Source organism: Homo sapiens, chromosome 10 (genome assembly GCF_000001405.40).
Source record: "Homo sapiens chromosome 10, GRCh38.p14 Primary Assembly".
Taxonomy (NCBI): domain Eukaryota; kingdom Metazoa; phylum Chordata; class Mammalia; order Primates; family Hominidae; genus Homo; species Homo sapiens.
The window spans coordinates 123,475,749-123,499,170 of record NC_000010.11 but is presented as its reverse complement, the minus strand read 5'-3'; the positions used below and the strand labels follow the sequence as shown (position 1 = coordinate 123,499,170).

Sequence of the window (23,422 nt, the reverse complement as noted above, 5' to 3'; positions counted from 1 at the left end):
CTACCAAGCTGTGTCCCTTCATGACAGACCCCAGAGGTACCATCTGCAGTCTGATTCTATTGGGGGTCTCCCTCTTTCCTTGCACAAATCTCTCAGCTAGTTGGTGAGAGCATCAGATAAAAACACCTCCTAGGATCATGATGCCATACTCTAACTTGTCTGGGAATTCTTTCCTATAGCAAATGTGTGTTTTAATTGATTTATTACTTCACTCAATCAACACAGATGCCTTGGGCCTCCTCTATGCACCAGACAATGAGTAAACACCCAGGTGATCCTTCCCACAAATAACGTGCAATCTGTAGGACAGCAGAGAAATAGCCACAGTTCATTTGTATCCAAAGCACTAAGGGGAGAGATTGTTTTTACCTGTGGAGTAGGGCAGAGGATCACCATTGAGGCTTCATGGAGGAGGTGGCCCTTGTATAATGGTTGGGATTAGGATTTGCAGATGGAATCTCATAAGAACCTTTATAATTCTAAATAATAATGACATCTATGCATTATCTCATCTCACAACTGCCTTAGTAGGTTTTATTGTTTACCCCTTTTCATAGATGAGAAAACAGAAGCACAGAGAGTTAAAAGAAATTCTCCAAAAGGACACAATGGTAGAAGCAGGAATCAACCTCAAGCCATTTGGCTCCAGTGCTCATGATTCTACCCACTGTGCAATGCTGCCCCTGTCTGACGAAAGTTGGCTCGTAGGGCAGGAACTATCTTGAACGAAGGCAGAGTGCTCTGGAAAGGATGGGGCATGTGTCAGGAAGACCTGGTAGCTCTGTTAAATGGAAGCATGTATTACACGAAGGTCATACAAAGGTTGAAATGTGCCATCCATTCATTCATTCAGCCAGTACTCATGGAGCATCTACCAGGTACCATGCACTGAAGACACGGTCACCAAGCAATGTTTCCAAAGACATGGGTTTGGGCTTGAGTACAAGTCAGGGAAGATACATTTTCAGAATTATCTAGACATTTCACACTTATCCCTTGCTTGTGGCTACCAAAAGCCACTGGATAGCAAAACCAAAAATATGTATCTCAAAGTATGGATTCAGAAACTACTTGAGGTAAAAGCAACATGAGGAGAGTGAAATATAGTATGCTCAGTTAAATTTGAATTTTGGATAAATAATAATATTTAAAGTGTGTCTCTGATGTTGCAAGGAGCATAATTTATGCTAGAAAAAGTATTCATTGTTCATCTGAATAATATTCAATTATTCATTGTTCATTGGAAATTCAGATTGGACTTGGCATCCTGTGTTTTTATTTGCTAGGTCTGGCACCCCTAAACCTGAGTGATCTTTTAACTAGGCTTCCCTGTTTCGCAAATGGGCCGAGGGAAGGGACCAGGTCAAGGTCACCCCCAGAGTAAGTCAGTGACACAGAGAGGAGAGGCCAGGTTCCAAGGAGCAGTCCAGGGCTCTTTCTGCTCCACAGGGCTGCCTTCCATGTCTCCAGTGAGAGGCTCCAGGAGCAGGGACAAACTCACAAATGACTGAATCAAACCACTTGGTCTTCCAATCCCAACGGGTCCATTAAACCTTCGTGTCAGCAGCAGTACAGGCTACAAAGCAGTTCTTAATCGTGGTGGGAAAAGTCAGAATTTTGAAAGTAAAATCCCCCAGCAGCAAGGGTTGCTTTGACCCTGGAATCAAAGGCTGCAGCCACAATAGGAAGCAGTTAAGCCCCAGGGGTCCTCCCTGCCCCACCCCCTGGCTGTAATTGTAGACAGGTGTGCAATGGCCAGGCGAGGCATGTTGGGTGAAATGCTTCAGGGAAAATAAAAAAGTAATATCGGCTGCAGCTTAGGGGAAATCAAATTTTCCCTTTAGAGCAACATCTCAGGAGACTGTGGCCAACTTCAAGGTGCCTTTATCTAAATACATTCCATTAGGAAAGGGGCAGGAAGAAGCCCTGGCCTCTCCAGGTAACTCAATCAGACTCCGTGGCATTCACAGGGATATCAGTTACCATAAGCCTTGTGGGGCAGTGAGGAGATTAGGAGGAGGATTACCTGCCACTTACTATGTGTCATCAAGGCAAGAACGGCTTCAGCTACAAGCTCTGTTTTTAATCGGGTCCTGGTGGGCTTTTCTCAAAAGGATGGCTGACAGCCGTTCTAAGCATGTTTTAAACTGTCCGTCACATCAGTGATAGGGACTCGCCAGTAGAGAGTGACAGCAATGTCAACAGTGGACACTGAAGGAATTTCTGACAAATGGCCTTTTGTGAAATGATGAGAAGTTGGACCAGGAGGTGCTGGCCCTGTTATGGAAACTCCAGGCCCACTTACATGTGCCCTTAAAGTCAACGTTTCTGGGCATATTTCTGCATTCTATTACACTCCTCAAACAGTCTGTGTGCTTGGACCAAGTCAATATGGTTGTCAAGGTGGCATCATCAGGTTTGACACCCCTCTGGGGACAGGCGAAGCCAGCATTAGCCCCCTCTCTGAATCTCAGCAGCAAGACAGGCCTGTGTAGGAGCCAAGAGGCAAGGTGGCTTGAAAAGACAGTTGGGACCCAAGCCGTTTGACTGTCTACACTAACAGTCGTCAGGCTATGAGAGGCGGGCCAAATCCAGCTCACCAGCTGTTTTTATAAATAAAGTTATGCTGGAAGCCAGCCACGCTCATTCATTCATGTATTGTTTATGGCTGCTTTCCCACTGCAGTGGCAGAGTTGAGTAGTAAAGGCGGAAACTGTATGGCCCACAGAGCTTCAATTATTTACTATCTGCCCTTTATAGAAAAAAAAAAAATGTGGGGGCTGATCCTTGGTCTGCACCTTTCCTTAAAGGAGGTCCACAGTCCCGTTAGCCCCAGATCTGCACAGAGTGGTGGGGGGAGGAGGACTGGGAATGAGCGGCATGTCTTAATACATTCTAAATTCCAAGATGTCAAGAGAATAATTGTGGAAGAGGAAACAGTGCTGAGGCCCAAGAACCAAGAATTCCAGGAGGAGTCATCTCAACTAAGTTGTCTCCACAAAGAATTCAAGTTGACCAGAAGACATAGAGTACTCACTTTTGATTAATTTTCCTAAAGCAGAATGCCCATCAGCCTCAGAGATCTCAGATGGCTTCCTACGAGCAGGAAAATTAGGAGAGGCCGGCTTTTAACTCCTTCTGACCCTGGCATTGATGCTGCCCACAATTTGCATGCAGACCCCTTTTTATTCCATAATTTCCCACAGAGTTCATTCTTTGCTTCCTGCCTGTCACTGCACAAGGACTGCAAGGCCAGAATGGTCACTCCAACATCTCTCTACACCCTGGCTGTGGTCCCAAATGGAACAACAGGCTGCTCCCTGAACACAGCTTGTTCCCAGGCTGTAGCCTCCACAGAGGTGGCCTGCCTTTCACTGCACCTGCGGACCCCACCTGTCCCACAAGGGTCTTCTCAAGTATATCCATGAAATTCTTCCAGATGCCTCCAGTCAGATGGCTCCTCTCCCTCCCTGAGCCTCCCAAGCAATTCTTCCAAACCTTTCTTGCGGGAATGACCAAATTCTATAACTCATTGGTCTTATCTGCTGCCAGGGAAATTAGTGGTTTCCATTTTTCTTGAGTGCTACAAAGATGCCGAGATGGGTTTGGTGAGAATGAAAACAACACTTAATGGAAACTCTGCCCACAGACCCTGAATTCCTTTCATATCAGTTGCCCACAGAGGAAGTTGGTGAGTCCTCAGATGGGAACTCTGTCCCTGTGCCTAGAAAAAAGGCTGGGGACCTCCAATAGCCAGAGCCAAGAAGAAAAGCCCAATGAAGATGATGGCAGCTTCGCAGAGCCTCCAGGACAAGGTGAATACACCTGTGCGTTGTGAATGACCAGCCAGGATTAGGCCAGGAGAGAAGGCTGCCTCCTCACTATTTGTGTGGGCAAGGAGGAGAGGACCACTCCAACCAGCACCACCTTCTTCACCCCTAATCCTGGCAAGGAAGATGCAGTGTTGGCCATCAGACAGCCTCAGTTTTGTGCCAGGCACCAGGGGAAGTGGAAAGCAAAACAGGCCAGGTCGCTGTCTCCACAGCACATGCATTCTGGCCCCTGACCCAACCCAGGAAGATGTGTGAGCCCAGAGATTCTGGAAGTAGGAGGGGCCACAGAGCCCTCACCCTCTGCCCTTAAAGGCACTGGGATGTGCCTCCTAGCAGAGGCCAAGGACCATCCATGGGCAGGAGAGAGACAAGGATAACTTAGGACCTTGTCTGAACGACCCCTCCTGCATCCACCTTGGCAGCCATCATCTTCTTCCTGGGTTGGAGGAGTTTTCAGAGGGTGCCCTTTTGAATCTGAAAGTGGAGAGGTCACTGGGAAGTGAATCCTCGTACTGCTCTTGTGATACCAAAGAGAAGAAGCACGTGCAGGAGCCTTGGGCCTCCAGCCATGCCTGGGACTTAGGTGGCAGGCTGGAGAGCTGGTCCCAAGTGTCAGAACAGCCCAATCACCCTCCAGACTTCCTAAGGGTTTGGGGATGGCTACAGGGGCAGTCCCACAGCCACAGAGTCAGACTGACTCAGGTGTCAGGGCTGGTGTCCCGAGATGGCTCTGAGTCATGGCCCCTGGGTGGAAACTGGGCTCAGATGATGAGAAGGGTTTAGCCCAGATTGCTAATGATGGAGCTGGGGACCCACGCTGTCTGCACAGGTGGCTGCCCTCAGGCTCTGGGTTGGGTGGCCAGTGGATCCATCTTTGTGCTGAGTGACTCAGAGCAGTAGGTCATTCACCCCCACCCAACCGAGGCTCCTCTGTTCTCCTCTGGTTGCGAGGGTGGTTCATGGTCAAGGAGAGGTTCAGCAAGTTTGCCAAAAATGCTCCAAGGCTATCAATACTACTAATTGTTCAGGAGCCCTTCTAAAGCCAGAGCAGGTCCGATTGGCCTCAGGCTCCCCGAGCCCAGCATGGAGCCTGGCACACAGTGAGTGCTTTTGCCGAATGAGCCTGTGACATAGCTCCCCAAGAGGAGCTAAGAGACTCCCAAGGGATCTCCTCTTGCCCTAGACTGGACCCTCTTCCCTCTCCTTCCCTCTGGGCTTAACTCAAATATCAAGAGAGGCTGCAGTGTGCTGCATTACAGGAGGTTTCCTCGGTCTTCTGGGAAATCCTATAAAAATACAACTTTTCAGCCAGGTGCGGTGGCTCATGCCTGTAATCCCAGCACTTTGGGAGGCCGAGATGGAGGTCAGGAGATCGAGACCATCCTGGCTAACACAGTGAAACCCCATCTCTACTAAACATACACAAAATTAGCCAGGTGTGGTGGCGGACACCTGTAGTCCCAGCTACTCAGGAGGCTGAGGCAGGAGAATTGAGTGAACCCAGGAGGCCGAGCTTGCAGTGAGCAGAGATCGTGCCACTGCACTCCAGCCTGGGTGACAGAGCAAGACTCCTTCTCAGGAAAAAAAAAAAAAATACAACTCTTTGTCTCTCCAATAATCACAAAGTTAAGCTAAGCCTGGGGCCTGACTTCATAGGTTGCTACCTGGTTGGAGATGCCACACAGGTAAGACCTACGGCCCCATGCTCTCCTCCTCTCTGCCATCGAATCTCCCACAATGGTGGGATTTCAGGCACAACCAATACATGGGCGTCAGCTGCGCCTGCTGTCAACACTGCAAAGGCACCGGTGCATGAGCAAAAGAGACAATAGGGGGTCAGGCCTTCCCAGTGACTTCCCAAAGTGGACCTCTAACGTGCTCTAGTCCTTTCTCTCCCAATTCTATGACTCATGCAAGCCCTAAGCATTTCACCCCACCCCTGACAGTTGATGTAGCCTTGGACCTTTTTTTTTTTTTTTTTTTTTTTTGAGACAGGGTCTCCAGGCTGGAATGCATTGGTACAATCATAGCTCACTGCAACCTCGAACTCCTGGGCTCAAGTGACCCTCCTGCCTCAGCCTCCTGAATAGCGGGGACCACAGGTGTGCACCACCACACTCAGCTATTTTTAATTTTTTTTTTTTTAAGATATTAGGTCTCACTGTGTTGCCCAGGCTGGTCTCAAATGCTTAAGCTTAAGCAATCCTTCTGCCTTGGCCTCCCAAAGTGCTGGGATTCCAGGTGTGAGCCACCATGCCCAGTCCAGCCTTGGACCTCGAGTGTCTTAAGCCCTGGCCTTTGCCAAGATCCAAAGAAGGCTTTATCTCTGTCACTATCTCCTCTCCCCATGGAAGAGTCTTGCCTGGTCAGAATCAAACTGGGCACAGGCCAGTTCATAACAATGCTTTGAATCCTCAGTGGCCTTCCCAAATGCCAGCCCGAGCAGACATCCCTGTTCAGACACCTGAAGGGGACACCTTCTAAGGATCACTTGTGGAATGACTGTCAAGGGTGGGGGAAGGGTGTCCTCAGCTCCACGCCTTATCCCACAGGAAGAGCCGATGAAGGATAAAGTGCCTCAACACACTCGCTGTCCCAGCCAGGTGCACCAAATCACTGCAGCTAGCCCACTGGGAAGCAGCTGACAGCTCGCAGGTGCCCTCAACCCATGAGGCTCACCAGGCCTGTCCTCACCAAGCCAATGCCCTCCTTGACTGCCCACACGTGCAGGGTCTCTCCCCAGCCTGTTCTCCAAACCAGCGGACGAGGCATGCAGCCCTGTGTGTTGCCGGAGAGTGGAGAGCCATCTGTTTCTATCAAACACTGTTTCCATCACCCGTTGCTATCCCATTGGCTCCTATGCCAATCTCTGCCTTTAACTGGAACCACCATGGCCTCCTCCGAACCACTGGAGAATCCTCCCCCTTCTCCCTTAGCTGCTCCCCCTTCTCCTCCTCTTGTCTCTCTCTCAATTTCTTCCTTTTTTGTACCTTGCACAGGTAATTGTGAGACGGTGAGGGAAAGCCCTTGAGTATTCGGTTCCAAACACTCCCCAGCAGTTCTCAGCAGGGCACAAAGGATCGCGGTGAATGTCACATTGAGACTGCTCCAGCTGCACCTGCCGGCAGGCCTGGCCCCTCCGGTTCACCAGGGGGTCACCGAGCGCTCGCATATTCTCCGATGGCAAGGAGAGCGACTATGTTTTCAGTTCACAGTGAGATTAAATCTACAACGTTTGACCCGTCTAATTTATTTTGTAGTTGACAGAGCAAGGAAAGCCCGTAGTAAGATCTGGATCCATTTCTTCCCCTTAAACAAAACACTGGAATTTGTAGGAAGCCAGCAGCGGCGAGGGGTTTCATTCCGGACCCGAATGGGTAAACAGGGATAATGAGCACTGGACCCCAGAGCTTGGGCAAAGTCGGGCAGGCCCATCACTGCCTGTCCACTGAACTGTAGACATGTGCTAAGCAGCAGGGGTGGCGGGAGGCCCTGGAGGAGTGAGAGCACCAGCTGGGGCGGCCGATCTGGGCAGAGATCAGGACCTCAGCTGAAGTTCGCTCGATTTGGCTGACTTTTTACCATTCCTTTTACATCCTACTTCTCCTGTTTACCTTTCGGCCCAACCCATCCCTTTATCAGCCAAAGCTGTGCCAACGCTCTCCTCCTCCCTCCTACCCCTCTAAGGGTTCTTCCTCGCAGCCAGAGGAAGCACACTCATCCCTGGTTTCCAGGTTGAAGAAATTCAGCTGCACTTCCATTCCTGGTCCTGAGCATGGTGAGGGACAGGACAAGTCGGGAATACTTGTCAGCTCCCTTCTAGGGCAGAGAATCAGTGATGTTATTATGAGAAAACAGAGGGGTAGGAGCAGACTTGAAGGATGCAGGATGGTGAGCTGAGGGAGGGCAGGCGGAGTGTGAGCCACTAGGAGACAACCAGGGTGATGACGAAGAAGAGGATGGCAGTGACAGCCACTAATCTTTGTTGAGAACTGACCAAGGGACTCTCCAAAGTGCTTTCTATTGCTCTGTTTGATCCACAAAACAACTGGCTGCGGTTGTGTTTTCTCTCCTATTTTACAGGTGAAGACACTAAGGCTCAGAGAGGTGAACGGATTTGCCCGTGATCACACAGCAAAAAGCAGGGAGGCAGGATCTGCATCTACCTCCATTTGATTCCGGGGCCTGGGTTCTTAACAACACTGCCCACATAAACTTACAGACGCAGACCCAGAGCTGTGAAATGAGGTTTGGGGTCCTCTTGTTGGAGTGCATCAAGTCTTCAAAAGGTGTTTGCAAAGGCCAGTTAGAAATGCGAGTGAGTCCTCTCAGGCACACACCCCTAATGTGGCTAAATCAAATCCCCTCCCAGCCTCAGGGTTCCAGGCCTGTGCAAGGAGGCTCTTCATTAACACTAAGGATGTCTTGAACTATGGGCCCAGGAACTGTAGCTCTGCTGAGATGCATGTGCCCTCTGGGACTAGTATATGAATTTCAGCTCAAGCTGGGGCAATGCTAGTTATTAATTATAACACATTAATTATGAAATTTGGTGAATGCTTGAAACAGAGGACTGTGGCCCACTCCCAAGGCCATAGCTTAGTCTCGTATTTCTCACTCGAGGCCGTGACTAAGCTGCAGAATTAAAGGCAGATGAGCCTTCATGCTGGTTGGCATTCAGGGTGGAGAGGGGAGGGAGGGAATTGTGCCATTGCTAGTCTTTAAAATGCTGACCTTTGCACACAAGAAGCTGAAAAGACATCACACATATAGAGAAGTCCAGGGAAATGTGATAAGAGGTTATGACCCAAAAATGAACACAAACCTTGCAATAATTTCAGCCACTAAACAGTGAAGCAGATTAGGCGTGAGTTTTTTACAGAAAGAACAAGCTTGTATTTTCAATAATTATCCCAAAGTGAAGAAAATGAAGAAACTGGGAGGTGCTACTGGCCACTTTTCTGGTTTGACCAGTGTGCATTTCATCTTTGGACCATTATAAGGGGCCAGTGGAGATGACGCTGGTGTTTTTAAAGAAGAATTTCTAACTCTGACCTTGGCTCCCCAGAAGGTAAGAATAAATTCAGCAAGAGAGTCTGCGGTGAGCTCCTTCTGGCGTGTGGGTATAGCATTAATAACAACAGCTAACATTCACTGGGCACCTATTATGTGCCACGCAGGGTTTTAAGGAATATTAATAGATTAACTCATTTAATCCTCACTGTGATCCTGTGGCAACAATGTATTTCTCATCACTATCTGACAGATGAAGAATCAAGGCACAGCGGGTGGGAAGAGGGGGCAGTAACCAGTAGTAAACAGTAGCCCAAAGTCTCCCAGCCAGTAAGTGCAAAAGCCAGGAATTGTTCCCAACGGTCAAACTCCATGGTTTACCTCTGAACCATTCTGCCAGACCACTCAAATTTAGAAGTAAAAGAACCACCTGATGTATATACCCAAAAGAAAGGAAGACATATGTCCTCACAAAAACTTCTATACAAATGTGCCTAGCAGCATTATTTATAGTAGCCAAAATGTGTAAACCACCCAAATGTCCATTAACTGATGAATAGATGAATGTGGTGTGTATGTATTTATATATGTGTATATATATATGCATGTATGTATGTGTATATATATATGCACATATATGTACACACACACATATACACTCATGCAATGGAATATTATGCACCTACCAAAAGTAATGAAATCCTGACATGCCACAATGTGGATGAACCTTATTAACATGATGCTAAGCGAAAGAAGGCAGACACAAAAGATCACATATTGCATGATTCCATTTGTATGAAATGTCTAGAATAGGCAAGTCCATAGAGATAGAAAGCAGGTGAATGGTTGCCAGTGGCTGGAGAAGGGAAAAATTAAGAATAATTAATAATAGATACGGGTTTCTTTTCAGAGTGATATAAATGTTCTGGAATTAGATAGTAGTGATGGTTGCCAAACATTGTGAATATACCAAATAAAGTCACTGAATTGTACACTGTAAAACAGTAAATTTTATGTTACATAAATTATCTCAATTAAAGTTCTTTCTCAAAACAACAAAGAACCACCTGACACATCAGTGATAACACTCTCAGCCTTGCCCTTGGCTGGCCCCTGGGTTGCAGCGTGGCTGCTCCAGCTCCAGCTACCATACACAGACACAATGCATGTAGTGGAAGAGAGGATTTCTCCTCTAGGAGATTGTCTTAGTCTGTTTGTGATGCTGTAACAAAATACCTGAGACTGGGCAACTTATAAACAACAGAAATGCATTTCTCACAGTTCTGGAGGTCAGGAAGTACAAGATCAACACACCCACAGGTTCTGGTCTGCTAAGAGCTCCAGTCTACTTCCAAGATGGCGCCTTGGTGCTGTATCCTCTGGAGGAGACAAATGCTGTGTCCTTACAGGGCAGAAGAGATGAAAGGTCAAAAAGGAGTGAATGAAGTATGAAGCCTCCTTTATAAGGGCATTAATTTATTTACAAGGATGGTCTAATCCTCTTAATCATGGCCTAATCACCTCTTAATAACACTGCATTGAGATTTACATTTCAACATGAATTTGGAGGGGACACAAACATTTAAACCACAGCAGTGATTTTCAAAGAACAAAGAAGCCTGCCCCGCAACCCCCCGCTGCGCAGAGCAGACATTCTCTCACATTTCAGTGGTCTGGACTGGGTCTCTGGCCCTTCACTAAACCGGCACTGGCAGGGGGTCTAGGGGATTATTGATCTGTTTTGACCAATCAGGATTTACCTTTGAGTTTCTTTTTTTGTCAGGAGGAGTGGACAAAACTAGGACTCTGTCTGAAGAAAGAAAGGCAATGGCCATTTGTAAGCACTCAACAGTGTCTGGGATACCTGTCACTTTAAAATACAGATTCCCAAGGCATGCCCCCAGGGCTTGGTTTAAGAACCCTGCATTTGACACAAGCACTTCGGGTACCTCGGAAAGGAGTGTCCTGCAACCACACTGCAAGAAACATTTTTCAGTTGTTCAAGCTTTCCTGTTTCCCCAGATCTTCAAATAATTTACTATTCTCCCCCATGCTTCCTCCTCTGAAAACATACTCCAAAAAGGGAGGGAGGAAAGAAGGAAGGGAGGGAAAAGAGGAAGATGAGAGAAAGGACAACATTTCCTGAGCATCTATCCTGGGCTTTTATACACAGCTCCACACTGTCACTTCAAGGCAACTATTATTCTGCCCATTTCAGAGATGTGGAAACTGAGGCTAAGACTATCAGCAACCCACCCAAGGCCATGTAAAAGTGGAGGACAAGGAATTTAGACCTGGGTCCTGGGTCTGGAGCTGCTTCCCCCAGATCCTTCCTTCTCACCAGACATACTGATCAACAGACCAACACATAGAACTTCTAGCTTAACGGAGGGTCCAACTTGCCTAGAAAGTGATGGTCTCTTACCAAAGAGAGTTCAAGACTCGTACCTGGAATAGAAAGTCTTTCATTTTTTTCATATCAGAAAAAAAAAAACAAATAAAGAAAAAATTACTCATTCTCCCAGTATTAAATTTGTGCACCAACACCCTTTGGCCTTTTTTGCTTTGATAGTGTATTTTTTTCTGCACTTGGCTTTGAAGTCACTAAAAAGATAAACTGAATGCAGCCAATCATCATGCATTTATGCTAAAAAGACAAGCATTCAGAATGCACCCACTTCCATTTGTCTAAAGCTCTGTGCCCCCACACCAGTGGGTCTATTTGCTACTTTACCAGAAGTGCTTTCACCTAGAACCAGCTCATTCCCCTCTTCCATCAAAAGCGCTTTTTTCCCCTTTTGCTTCCCAAGTTCTTTTCTATGGATTAAGAACCCCTTGGGACTATGGTTTTAGAAGAAGTAGAAATCTGAATTTCAATGTAAATGTCAACTGTGCACTCAATTTCCCTTGAGATTTTCCCAGGACTGTTCCTGAGGGAGGAATCCAGAAGTCACTTGCCATAAACATTACTATTGGAAGTTCTCAGACAGAAAGAACTTCTATCTGGCTACCAAGAAGACACGTGTGAAGGCTTTGGGGCAAGGGAGTTCAGACATGATGGCAGTCTCCAAAGAAAGGTATCAGCTGGGCTGGGATGTTGAAATATAGAGTAGGGGCTGAGAAGGTGAAGTTCTGCGCATTCAGGGAAAGGTTGGTTTTTCTGTTTTGTTTTGTTTTTTGAGAAAGGTCTCTCTCTGTCACCCAGGCTGGAGTGCAGTGGTGCGACCATAGCTCACTGCAGCCTTGACCTCCCGAGCCCGAGCAGTCCTCTTGCCTCAGCCTCCCAAGTAGCTGGGACTACAGGCATAAGCCACTGTGCCCAGCTAATCATTATTATTATTTTGGTAGAGGCGAGGTGTTGCTCTGTTGCCAGGACTGGTCTTGAATTCCTGGGCTAAAGCAATCCTCCTGCCTCGGCCTCTCAAAATGATGGGATTACAAGTATGAGCCACCACACCCAGCCTCAGGGCAAGGTCTTATTTGTGCAAATCTAACTGAGTTGCTGGTGAACATACTTGTGAAATCACCCATGTGGATTGGGAACAGCTCATTAATCTGCAGGTTGGGTAGAGAAAAAAAAGCTCCATGGGAGGCTGGAATTCATGTGGGGCCTGGCAAGTAAAGAAGGATTTCCATGGAAGGAGGAAGGCAGTGACTTAGAGTATAAGAGTAAGTGCTTGTGGGCAGAGAGTTTCTAGCAAGGGAGGGCTGCAGCCCAGGCAGAGCCAGGCTTGAAAACTAAGAACATTTGCACAAAAGCCCTGTGAGCTAAGTCTGATTCATTAGCCTTAAAAAGTAAAGTGTTTCTGGGAACATCCCTTGAGCATCAGGGAAGCTCCGATGCAAAGTCCTCTCACGTGCAGTAGATGACAGGTTCTCAGGAGATGAAGGATTTGGCAACATGGAGGAGAAGGATCTGCCAGCACTGTCTTCCAGCCCCCAAGGCAGGATCATTTCAAGCTAATAGAGCATTACCTCTATAGAGTTAGCTAAGTCAGCAGCACATCAGACATGCGAGGACTCCTGTGAGATGGGTGGGCCTCTGTGAAACACTGACCTAAGGAATTAGTGTAAGAAGGCATCAGCACAGCTCACACCAGATGGGCACCAATGACAACGTGGCCAACCTTCTGCCTGCGTGCCAGGCACTGCTCCAAGCGCTTAGCCTGCATCATCTCATTTAGCTCATCTCCAGCTCACCACAACCCCCAAAGGAGTTTCTGTTATGATCATTCCCATTCTACAGTTGGGGAAACTAAAGATCAGAGAGAGGTAACAGGGCCTGGGTCATACAATTCATAAATGGTGGAAACAAGTTCCAGTCTCAGAGAGCCCCACTCCAGGGCTGGTTTTCTCTCCACAAGGAGTTGAATCAATACTTATTGGCTTGAATGTGAGTCAACGATCCCTGCCTTTATTGATCCCAACTCTCTTCATTAGGGTTGTGACCTCCATGCTGACCCTTCACTGAGGACCTTAGATGAAGCGGGCACTAATTCAAGAGGAAACGTCCAGGCCGTTCCATCTGCCATCATGTCATCCTTTGGAGGAACTGAAAGCAAGTCTCGCAATTTATATGTTTGCATCTCAAGTTGGGAAATGTCCTATTAAAACACCAACTAAAAAAATGCAACTCAGAAAAGTCTGGGGCTGAGTCTTCACTTAGACATATGCAAAACCATGCCCAAATTATGCTACTCACTTTTCATCCTGCTGTTAAACTGTCATGATGGGAAATAAACAAAGTCCCAGTGCACTGTTTGGCAATTAGCAATTATATCTCAACCTCTTTGGTAGCCTTCACACTGCTCTGTAATTGTGAGATTAAAAAGCTATAATTCACGTGGTTGGCTATACGTGTGTGGATATCTTGCTACAACAAAGCAATTACCCAAGAGTCATTATCCTCATAAAGTAATCTGCAATTGTAGGTAAATAATGATTATGTAGCTAACAAATTCTGTATTATTGACCCTTAAAATAAATATTAAGATTTATCTTTTCATGCAGCCATATATGTTATATATATTCTAGGCCTCCGAGGTAGAGTTGCTTTAAACTAACAGAACATGAAATAGATTTGCATGGTACTTCTGAGTCTACAAAATACTGTGAGGTGCCTCTTATTCACGATCCACACGATCATGACATAAAGAAGTCATGGTAACTTAAGTCAGGTAACTTAATTCTCCATGTTTTACAGAGAAGTTTGAGTCTCAGAGAGGCAAAGTAACCCATCTAAGCAGATATAAAATTCCTTTTCTTAGGGACCCTTAAGTGCATGAACAACTCTCTCCCTGGACTGCCTGCCCTTCCCCTCCCAAGGCTCATGGACTAAGCCCAGGACTTTTCCTTCTCTTTAGAATGCTATGACTGTAGTCCACGTCAATGAAATAGAATAATTCACGCTATAATGACATTCCCTCCCCCACAAAATCAAAAGGCACTATATACTTCAACTATACTTTATTGCCTTGTTCAGTAAAGTTAGCCAAAGGTCATAATTCTTTCATTGTGTCTATACAAAGCCAAATGGCCATTTGAAAAATGTGAAGCTAAAAATGTTCAAATGAAATGATTCCATATCTACCACTTGAATTTTATTACTTGCTTCAGTTTGACCAATATTATCATAAATGCAGCCTGATTGCTTTGTAAAAACAGAGTCAAGAGACACAGCAAGGAAGTCCCCACAGCATCTGGCCCACAGGACAGGACTTCAGATCTGAGCCACTCAAACTCTTGCTTTCAGAGACCCTCATGTGGAAACAAGATGGGCTTCATCCTCTTTTATATGGTCACAGAATTGCAGCCATTGAGAACCTGACGTTTCTTTGATTCCTTCCTTTTATCACTAAAAAAATACACACTGAAGCCCTACTCTGTGCCAAGCAATGGCCCTGGGGCTCCCATATGAGCAGCATAGGTGGGCCTTCTGCCTTGCAGAGCTTGGCATCCATCCCAGATGGGGAAAGGAAAGGCAGGAAGAGGAGAGGTGATGATCCCATTTCGAAGGCAGGCTTGGATGCTGTTCAGATTCCAAAGTTTTATTAAATTATATCCATTTTCCTCTATTTCTATGTCAGTATCTTTAAAATATCCCAAGTTTTATTCTTCCTTTATTAAAAACAAAATAATAATTTAACAGAAAAATCACCAAGTCAGTCTGTAGGTAAGTATGTGTCATCCCAGTGAAGCTAGGTCCCAAGTGGTTTAGTCTCTGAATGGCATCATGGTCAAATGAGCGTGGTCTGGCAACCAAAAATTTACTACAGCATTTCAACTTCTCTACATACATTTCTTCTTACACTCATTCCTACATACATGCATACATGAATACATACATACATATATACATACATGAAGGGAATATGTGGCCCAGGACACTTCTTAAATTACTTTTCCATTGTGTCACACTGCAGCTGCTCAACTACTCCTCTCTTCCAAACATCTAGAAGACTCCAGTGGCTTCCTTTGAGGGTCCTCCCAGCAATATTGCCCCCAGCCCCCAGTCTATACACTTTTCCCCCTCTACCTCTTCTCTTCCTCCTGAGCCTGCCACAAACGTCCAAGAAACCTCTCCGGTAATGAAGGGTGCTTCTGAGAATGGGGAGGAGCAAAGGCCGAATGGACAACTCCAGAATGTCCCTATATTAATGAATCATGTCCCTCCATTTGGATATTTACAATCAAGTTCTATGGAGTCTTTTAAATAGATCACCAATTTTAAATAGATCACCAAAGTGGGCTACTGATGAAGACTGTAGAATTCCCATCTCTGGAGATAATGAAAAACAAAAACAGGAGATTCACACTGGGGCTGATTGGAGGCATCAAAATATTTGTTTAACATCTGCTTTCGTAGGGATGGTGAGGGCCAGCAACAATCAGCACCATTGTTCCTGGAGCTAATCTCATAGATTTACCCCTTTCTTGAGTTTTAATTGAATTGCCCTACAGGTAAATACACGGAGCCCTTTCCAGTGCAGACACCCTGTTGTGGGTATCATCCTTGCCCCGGATTCTTTGTGTGTCAAACACAAGCCACTCCAGACCCCCAGAGTCCAAAGTAGTTAATTAACAGAAATCAAAGGAGCCTTTGTTGCTGCCCCAAATCTTCCTCTCTTCTCCAGATGGGGACAGATTCACTCACAATTTAGTTCCATTTCTGAGAATGGTTTCTCAGGTTTCCCTTGTCGGTGACTAGAAAGGGCCAGGTGCCATCAAGGACTCCTGCTCCTGGGTCTCTGCCAAAGACTGAATCAAAGGAAGCAGAAAGGCCTCAAATCAGTGGTCCAGGACCATCAGGGACCACGAGCCTATTGGATGGGGTCCAGGTTGGGGGTGGTGTAACCTGCAGAGAGAAGTGAGGGGGCTGGGGTGGGGGCTGCCGTGGAGGGTGATTGATGATGTCACAGAGTGCTGCCTAGAGCAGAAGCCCCAAAGGAGGGGGCTCTGAGGCCTAGGGGGCTCTGCTCACCACCCGCCCACTGGAGACCCCATGCAAGCAGAGTCTAAAGGCACCATGCTGGTGCCTGCTCACTTCGATGAAAGGTCGGAGTCAGAATTAGCTTTAACAAATAAAAAATAAGGGGGCTGCTTTAGGCATCAGCTTTATAGAATCAGAACAGTCCAGAATAAGCAAAGGGCATTCCTTCTGTCTTCAGCCAGGTCCAGGTTATAAACAGGGAAGAGTAACGATGAGGTGCAGCAGAGAGGATATGGTATTCAAAAGTCAGAAAGAATATGGACAAGTGAACCAGGAGTTTAAAACCCAGGACCCCGGGAGAAGGAAAACATCACATGCAATGTCTAATTCAATAAGCACAAATCTTTGCACAGTGGATATTTGCCTAGGAAAGAATTGACACTCAAAGAGGAGATCGTCAATACTTAGCACCACCCAGCTGGGATTAAACCCAGGCCTGTCAGACTCCAGAACCTGTGCTTTTCCCAAGAAATCATGTGGCTTCCTGCAAAAACTAGAAAGCACTTTTTGGAGCTTGAAGGAGACAGTTTTAAAAATGAAAGGCGGTTCTGCTTCATACAGTGTGTAATGAGGTGCCAGGGTTTATTTTAATGCTAAGAACCAAGCATAAGCTGAAAATAGACGTAGATTCAAGAATATTTTCATATGGTGCTTATGCAGACCCAGGGGCCAGATAAGAAGGAAGGGGAAAGGGAAGGAGGAAGTGAGGAAGGGATGGGGAGCAGTAGTGAGGCCCCATTCTCTTCTATTGTCAGCTCAGCACATAATTTATATCTATACCTCCCGTCTACCTACCCATCCATCAATATAGATATGCCTTTAATTGTTTTTAAATCATCTTAAAATTCCACTGGTAAAATAATAAGTTTAAAATTAACAGTTTTGGCCAATCATTTTTGCCAGATGGGTCTGGAAATACTGGGGCAATCACATGAACCCACAAAAAGAAAGAGCCCCCCACCCCCGCTCTGACCGTACCTCTGTGTGCCAAGCCTTCAGCATGGCATGAGCACCTGGGCGTTTTCAAGGCCCCCAGGACATACAAGGCCATGTTTGCTTCTCTGCAGGAGCCCAGGTTTCACCAGCTCCATCAAAAGGGGAATTTGAGTGATGGTTGCTGGAGCTACTACACAGTGACTCTCCCCACCCGCCATGTTGGTGCTGTGCTTGGCGGAGGGAATGCTGTCCCTGGGCTCAAGTCTTGTTCCACTTTCTCGCGTTGGGTGGTTGTGGGATCTCTCAGAGCCCTAGATGAGGTCAGCGAGATGGGAAAACGAGCACTCCCTTTCCAGGATTCGCTGAGAATGAGTGAGGTGCTGCATTCAAACTGCAGGATATGAGATGCGTATTGATACTGGGAGAGAGAGATTGTGGGGTTTGTAAATTTCCACTCCACCCCACGGTGCATCTTGAAGCTGCTCCCACTTGGGTCTTCCATCCTGGGAGTTCCTGGCAGCACCGAATACCAGGAGATCAGGAGCCCTGCAATTTTATTAGCATGTGTGACATGGGGCTTTCCCTCATTTGTCCTAAACAAAACAACTCGCAATGGTGAAAAGTCAAGCAGTTCAGAAAACAGTGTTTTGTGAAATACAATTCTCAGTGAACTGGGAGCAATATCAACTGAAAATAAATAAATAAAAAAGAATCATCATAAAAATGAATAGAATCTACTAAAACCAAAGGGGACAGAAAAGCCTCAACCTCAACACTGTTTCAAATTGAGTCATAAAGTGAATTCCCAAAATGCACCAAAGGCACTTGCTACCAGCCTGGAGCCCCGCCCTACACCCTTGAGCCACTCCATCCCGCCCACCATCTAAGCTCCCCGAGATGGCAGCATCTAGGTTGTCCGGAGCTCAGTGCCAGGCCTAGATCGCAGCCGGCTAGTTCCTGCTCTTCTCCCCATCCTCTCCCAGTCTGAGTCACGCTAGTTCCTCAAAGTCTGTGCCGCGCTCTCTCCCACTACCATCCCCACTGCATGGAACACTTTTCCTTCTTCCGACATCACCTTTTGTCCTTATCTTTTACCTGGGAAAGTCCTAGCAACCTTACACTCTTCCAGCATCAGCTTGAAGTCCTTTCCCCTGGAGGCTCCATCCCAGCGTGGCAGGGTGCCCACGGGTGCCTTCCAGCAGCATCTGTTCTGTGGTCACCCTGCCTTGAAACCCCCTCCAGGCTGTCAACCACCTTAGGCAGGACTGGCCCACTTGTCCCCACTGCACCTGTAATGCCCAGGTCAGTGCCTGGTGCTTCATAGATCCTCAGTAAAGCCATGTTTGGAGAGGGTGTTTGCCAGTCCAGGGCTGTGCCCTCTCGCTTCTGGCAGGAGAAGCCATGAAGTCACTGGTTGTTCCTTTCAGCCTCAGAGGAATGGGCAGAACACAAGCCCCCATATGTTGCTTTCTAGCAGTCTTAGTGAAATTCCCCGGATCTCTTTCCAAATCCACAGATGAAGACAACTTTATTATGAACTTTCTAGAGAGTCCTGGCCTTGCCCTGCATTGCTGTCTGAGCCTCCGGTCTACACTAATCCCCAAAGCACACGGCAGGGCAGCCCAATAACCAGCCACCCCTTCTTCTTCCCAGCCTCCCCGTCACCTCTAGGGCATAACCAAACCGTGGCCATGTGGCTGGGAGACATTTATCACGGAATTACAGCTCCGGGACGCGGTCTCCGTGGCTGTGACGTGATGACTGTGTATTTCACGCCTCTCAGTTTCCCAGCTGGGATTCAGAGATTTAAAGACATGGGAGATGTATTTTTAAATTTATGAGAGGGCCATTGATTTAATTAATTGTGCCAGAAGAGTGCAGTCAGTCACAATAAGAATTCTTAAAGGGAAAGGGGACCAAAGGAGGCTGGTCTCAACTGTTTGGGGCTGATAAAGCTTGTGTTTCTTCAATAAAGCTATCTTGCTAAGGATCTGGGTGTAGAACAAATTCTTTGGAGGGCATGTCCATAGGCAGATGATGCACCCACAAGCATTTGGGGAAACACCCAATTGGGGAAACACCCACCAAAACAGCTCTTCTTTGAGAAACTCCGTGTAATATGATCCTTCAAAAAGGACAAAAACCGATTCATCTGCCAGAATTCGCTTCTCCTTTCACACTGGTTCATTCTCTCATCTGATTGGCGCTGGCTGGGCTGGAGCCCATTCTCCTGGATTCTGGGAATTAAGCTTTCCCCAGCAGCTACACTAAAGACAATGTAGTCCCATTGGCTGACCAACTCCCAGATTCATGCACCAAAGACACCTGCAACCTGCCTGGTCCAACCTGCGAATTTTACAGATGGGAAAACTCAGTCCTGGAGGCCTTTCCTGGTGAGAGACAAAGGTAGGGTCAGAATTCAAGTCTCCTGATCCCATTCAGAGCTCTTTCTGCTGATGGTACCCTCTCTCTTGGCTGGGAGGGCCTCAGCTAGTATTTTTTTCAAAATGTGCAATTATTTCCTTTACTTTTAGATTTTAACTCTTGCACAGGATGTTTTAAATGAACTTAGGGTAATTTCTGCCAGCATTACCACCTCTTTTTCTTTCTACGCACTTACAATAACATCAACATTTTACTCTGGTATCTTAAACCCAGAGGCTGGGCCTGAGCGGAGACACCGCCCAGTAGACACCAAGGTCGAGGCTGGGGTGAAATCACTTCCACTGCCAACTGAACTCCATGTTTCTGTTCTGGAAGATCTAATGGAGAACCCAGGAGAGAGGACAGCAGGGAGGAGAAGGCAGCCCTAATTCAGATGCAGATGTCACTTAGAACTTTTTACTTACACCTATAAGAGGAGTCTGTCAATATCAGAGACATGCTGGCTGTCATCTGGATATGATCCCCCAGATCGTCTCCAATCAAGAACTCTCAGAAAGGGCAGGTGGGTAAGTCTGAGACTTTACAGTCAGAACTGGCAACTAGCATTGCTTACCCCAGAAAACCTTTCTTTACCCTATGCCACCCAGCCTAGGTCATTCCTATCCCCCAACACGAGGCTTCTCTCTCTTCCTGAACACCATTGTGACAGTGCGGGCTGGGTGTCTGTTGGCCCATCTGACTCCCCACTGGGCTGGGAGCTCTTTGAAAGCAGGGACCTTGTCTGCGCTGTTGCATCTTACTGTTCTAGCAGAGTGCCTGGCACATAATATGTGCTCAAGAAATGCCAATGGCTTGAATGAATGAACAACCTCAGAGATCTGGCTCATTCACTCACTTTATAGAAGAGGAAACTAAGGTCCAAAGGGTCAAGTGGGAAATTAGAAGTGGAACCAGAGCAAGGATCAGGGCCCCCACCCTGACTTCTCTGGACTTCACATCTTTGCGAATTTACAAGGAAGCAATAAGGGTTAACCTGAACTGCTTTGTTCTGCTGTCCCAGTGTCATGCAAACCTCCTTTTCTCCACCTCTCACTCTCCAGTCCACTGCCAAGGCCTTGGAAATCCTGCAAGTTTTTATGCAAATGACCTTTGGAAACTAAAAGAAGCCAATGTTTATTTTTCATTCAAAGGTCCAGATGGGTTATATCTGCTGGGCCTGGCTGTGCCCCTGCTATCAGATGGGCATGCAAATGACCCCACTAGAAAAGACCTGGAAGAGAATAGCTCTGTTTCCAAACACACAGACATTTGCCTGGACATTTCCCTAACTCGTTCCTCTTTTCCATTTCAAACAATATATGGATCTCACAATTCCCCAGCCTAGTAAAATTCTAACAGCAGGTCGATAGAGGCCTATTGACTGGGAAGAACTTAACTGCCTTCCAGCTAGGCAGTGAGAAGTGGCCTTACCTCCTCACCTCAGCACCCAGAAATTTTAATCTAGCATGAGACCCACTTTACTAAGAAAAAAGAAGACGGGCCATTTGCCACCATCAGGGACCCAGGGGCACCTGGGAGGAAGCCCTTTGAAGAAGGCCCTTAAAAAGAGCCATTGCAAACCAAGAACCATTATTCTAGGTCATCGGCTCAGAATATCAAGATGTGAGTTTTTTGAATGCTAGTTTTATCCCCAGTTCCCAACTGCCTGTGTCATTGGGAGGGCCTAATGACCAACCTCTGAGCACTATGAGATTACTCCAGGCCAGGACAGGTAGATCTTAACCCACAGGCAAAGCACAGGCCTTCCTGTGATACCATTTTGAAATGATCTCAAGCACTTACATAGTTTGCTACATGAATGACATATGTTTTACTGTGTATTCCACACTCCCTTTGAGAGTGGGATATCTCATCAGACACTCTGTGTGAAAACTTGGAGTGAACTCCCTCCTCTCAGGAATGTGATGTCAAACCTTATCAGAATTCCCATTTGTGAGTTATGGACCTCAACTACTGGACTTCAGAATACATATTCTGTTACCAAGAGTTTAATGGACATTTGGAGAGCTTAGGCCGTGGTAGTCTACACAGTTGGCTGCTTCTAAAGACAACCAGTATGTCTGCCATCACAGCTGCTTCTCCAACACCAAGAGCTCAGGTGCAACTAGGCGACACCCTGTTAGCCTCGGGACTAATCACCAGCTCCAGCACAGTCCCCCAGTATGGAGGGTCCTTACGCTGGACCTCCAGATCTCTGCCCTGATGGTTGAGCCAGCTTCTCTGAGAGCTGCTTGTAGGAAGGTATACTCCAACCTTTACTCAGACCTTACCTTCCCCAGAGAGACCTGCTTCCATCCTAACTGAGCAACCAGACTGTAATAATTTTGGAACCCACTCACTAAGTGGTTAATGTACTTTATCTATCAAGCAGATTCCCTGTGAGCTTTCTTCTCTTTATTCTTTAAGCATCGTGACCCTAAGAAGAGATTTTTTTTGGTACGGCAATACACTATGAAATTCAAAAAATCATACTTTGATCATCTCCTTATTTCCACCGTATATAACATTCTCCCTTCCCAGGAAGGACAGAACTAGGGGCCTTATTTTAGGGTCCCTGGGACCCATCTGGATCCTGAAAAGAAAACTGGTTGCAGGAAGCCACCTCTCTGAGCAGGAATATGATGACATACTTACCATAGGACCCAGCAATTTCACTCTCGAGTACAGACAAAAGCTACACACCAATGTTTAGAGAAGCTTTATTCACAATAGCCAAAAATGGCAAGTAATGCAAATGTCCACTGATTGGGGAAAAGATAAATGGTGGGGTATCCAAATAAGTGAATACTGTTTGGCAATAAAGGAGTAAACTACTGATGGCTATAACAGGAGTGAATTTTAGAGCATTATGCTAAATAGAAGCCCAGGCTTGGAGTGGAAGGCTATAAAGGAGTGTGTTAGTCCATTCTGCATTGCTATAAAGGAATATCTGAAGCTGGGTAATCTATAAAGAAAAGAGGTTGATTTGGTTCATGGGTCTACAGACTTTACAAGAAGCATAGCTCTGGCATCTGCTTCCGGTGAGAGCCTTGGGAAGCTTCCATTCATGGTGGGAGGCGAAGGGGGAGCAGGTGTGTCCCATGGTGACAGAGAGAGAGAGAGAGCAAGAGAGATGCCAGGCTCTTTTAAATAGCCAGCTCTCACGTGAATTAATAGAGCCAAAACTCACTCATTACCACAAGGGCATCACGAAGCCGTTCATGAGGGATCCACCCCCATGACCTGACCACCTCCCACCAGACCCACCTACAACACTGGGGATCACATTTCAACATGAGATTTGGAGGGAACAAATCCAAACTATATTACTTTGCGAGGTGATGGGAATACTTTCCATCTGATTATGGAGATGGTTGTACAACTGCCTACATGTGTCAAAATTTCTCAAATTATACACTTGAAATTGGTGAATTTTATTGCATATAACTTACACCTCAATAAGAATGATTTTTTAAAAGAAGTAGTATCATCAAGGTGAGGTCATTTCTGTTGAATTACAGATTAACTTTCTCTGGGGATTCTCATTATCTGCCTCAACAATGGTATTCAAAACACACACCAAAAAACCTCTTCCTTACAGAGTCACAGGACAGGAGTGCCAGAGAACAAGAATGTTTCCCCCTTTTAACCCAGGATAAGCCGTTCATCCCTGTGGAGGGGAGAGAGTGGAGACTTCAAAGGCCAAGTTAATACTCAGTTCTGCCAC

General features: G+C 46.5%; 1 long non-coding RNA gene across 9 annotated transcripts in view, besides 4 other annotated features; it reads right to left on the bottom strand.

Annotated features, from left to right (window-relative positions):
- LINC02641 (long intergenic non-protein coding RNA 2641) overlaps window positions 1-23,422 on the bottom strand; it is a 214,291-nt gene that overhangs the window by 63,043 nt on the left and 127,826 nt on the right. For 5 of the 9 annotated variants that reach the window (XR_007062326.1, XR_002957104.1, XR_002957105.1 and 2 more), the window contains one exon: window positions 10,161-10,248. This is a non-coding gene — a long non-coding RNA (long intergenic non-protein coding RNA 2641). Of the gene's footprint in view, window positions 1-10,160; window positions 10,249-10,606; window positions 10,657-15,206; window positions 16,205-23,422 lie in introns of those variants that run through there. The other 4 variants (XR_001747618.2, XR_001747616.2, XR_946398.3 and 1 more) reach the window with 4 other exon arrangements.
- Window positions 984-1,710: an enhancer, noted in NCBI's record as "H3K4me1 hESC enhancer chr10:125256977-125257703 (GRCh37/hg19 assembly coordinates)". NCBI's record gives its function as "activates a minimal SCP1, AML or CMV promoter by ChIP-STARR-seq in primed H9 embryonic stem cells {active_cell/tissue: H9 hESC(primed)}" and the evidence as "EXISTENCE:reporter gene assay evidence [ECO:0000049][PMID:30033119]".
- Window positions 1,711-2,438: an enhancer, noted in NCBI's record as "H3K4me1 hESC enhancer chr10:125256249-125256976 (GRCh37/hg19 assembly coordinates)". NCBI's record gives its function as "activates a minimal SCP1, AML or CMV promoter by ChIP-STARR-seq in primed H9 embryonic stem cells {active_cell/tissue: H9 hESC(primed)}" and the evidence as "EXISTENCE:reporter gene assay evidence [ECO:0000049][PMID:30033119]".
- Window positions 4,570-4,809: an enhancer, noted in NCBI's record as "active region_4160". NCBI's record gives its function as "activates an Ori minimal core promoter by ATAC-STARR-seq in GM12878 lymphoblastoid cells {active_cell/tissue: GM12878}" and the evidence as "EXISTENCE:reporter gene assay evidence [ECO:0000049][PMID:35858748]".
- Window positions 6,777-7,547: an enhancer, noted in NCBI's record as "OCT4-NANOG-H3K4me1 hESC enhancer chr10:125251140-125251910 (GRCh37/hg19 assembly coordinates)". NCBI's record gives its function as "activates a minimal SCP1, AML or CMV promoter by ChIP-STARR-seq in naive H9 embryonic stem cells {active_cell/tissue: H9 hESC(naive)}" and the evidence as "EXISTENCE:reporter gene assay evidence [ECO:0000049][PMID:30033119]".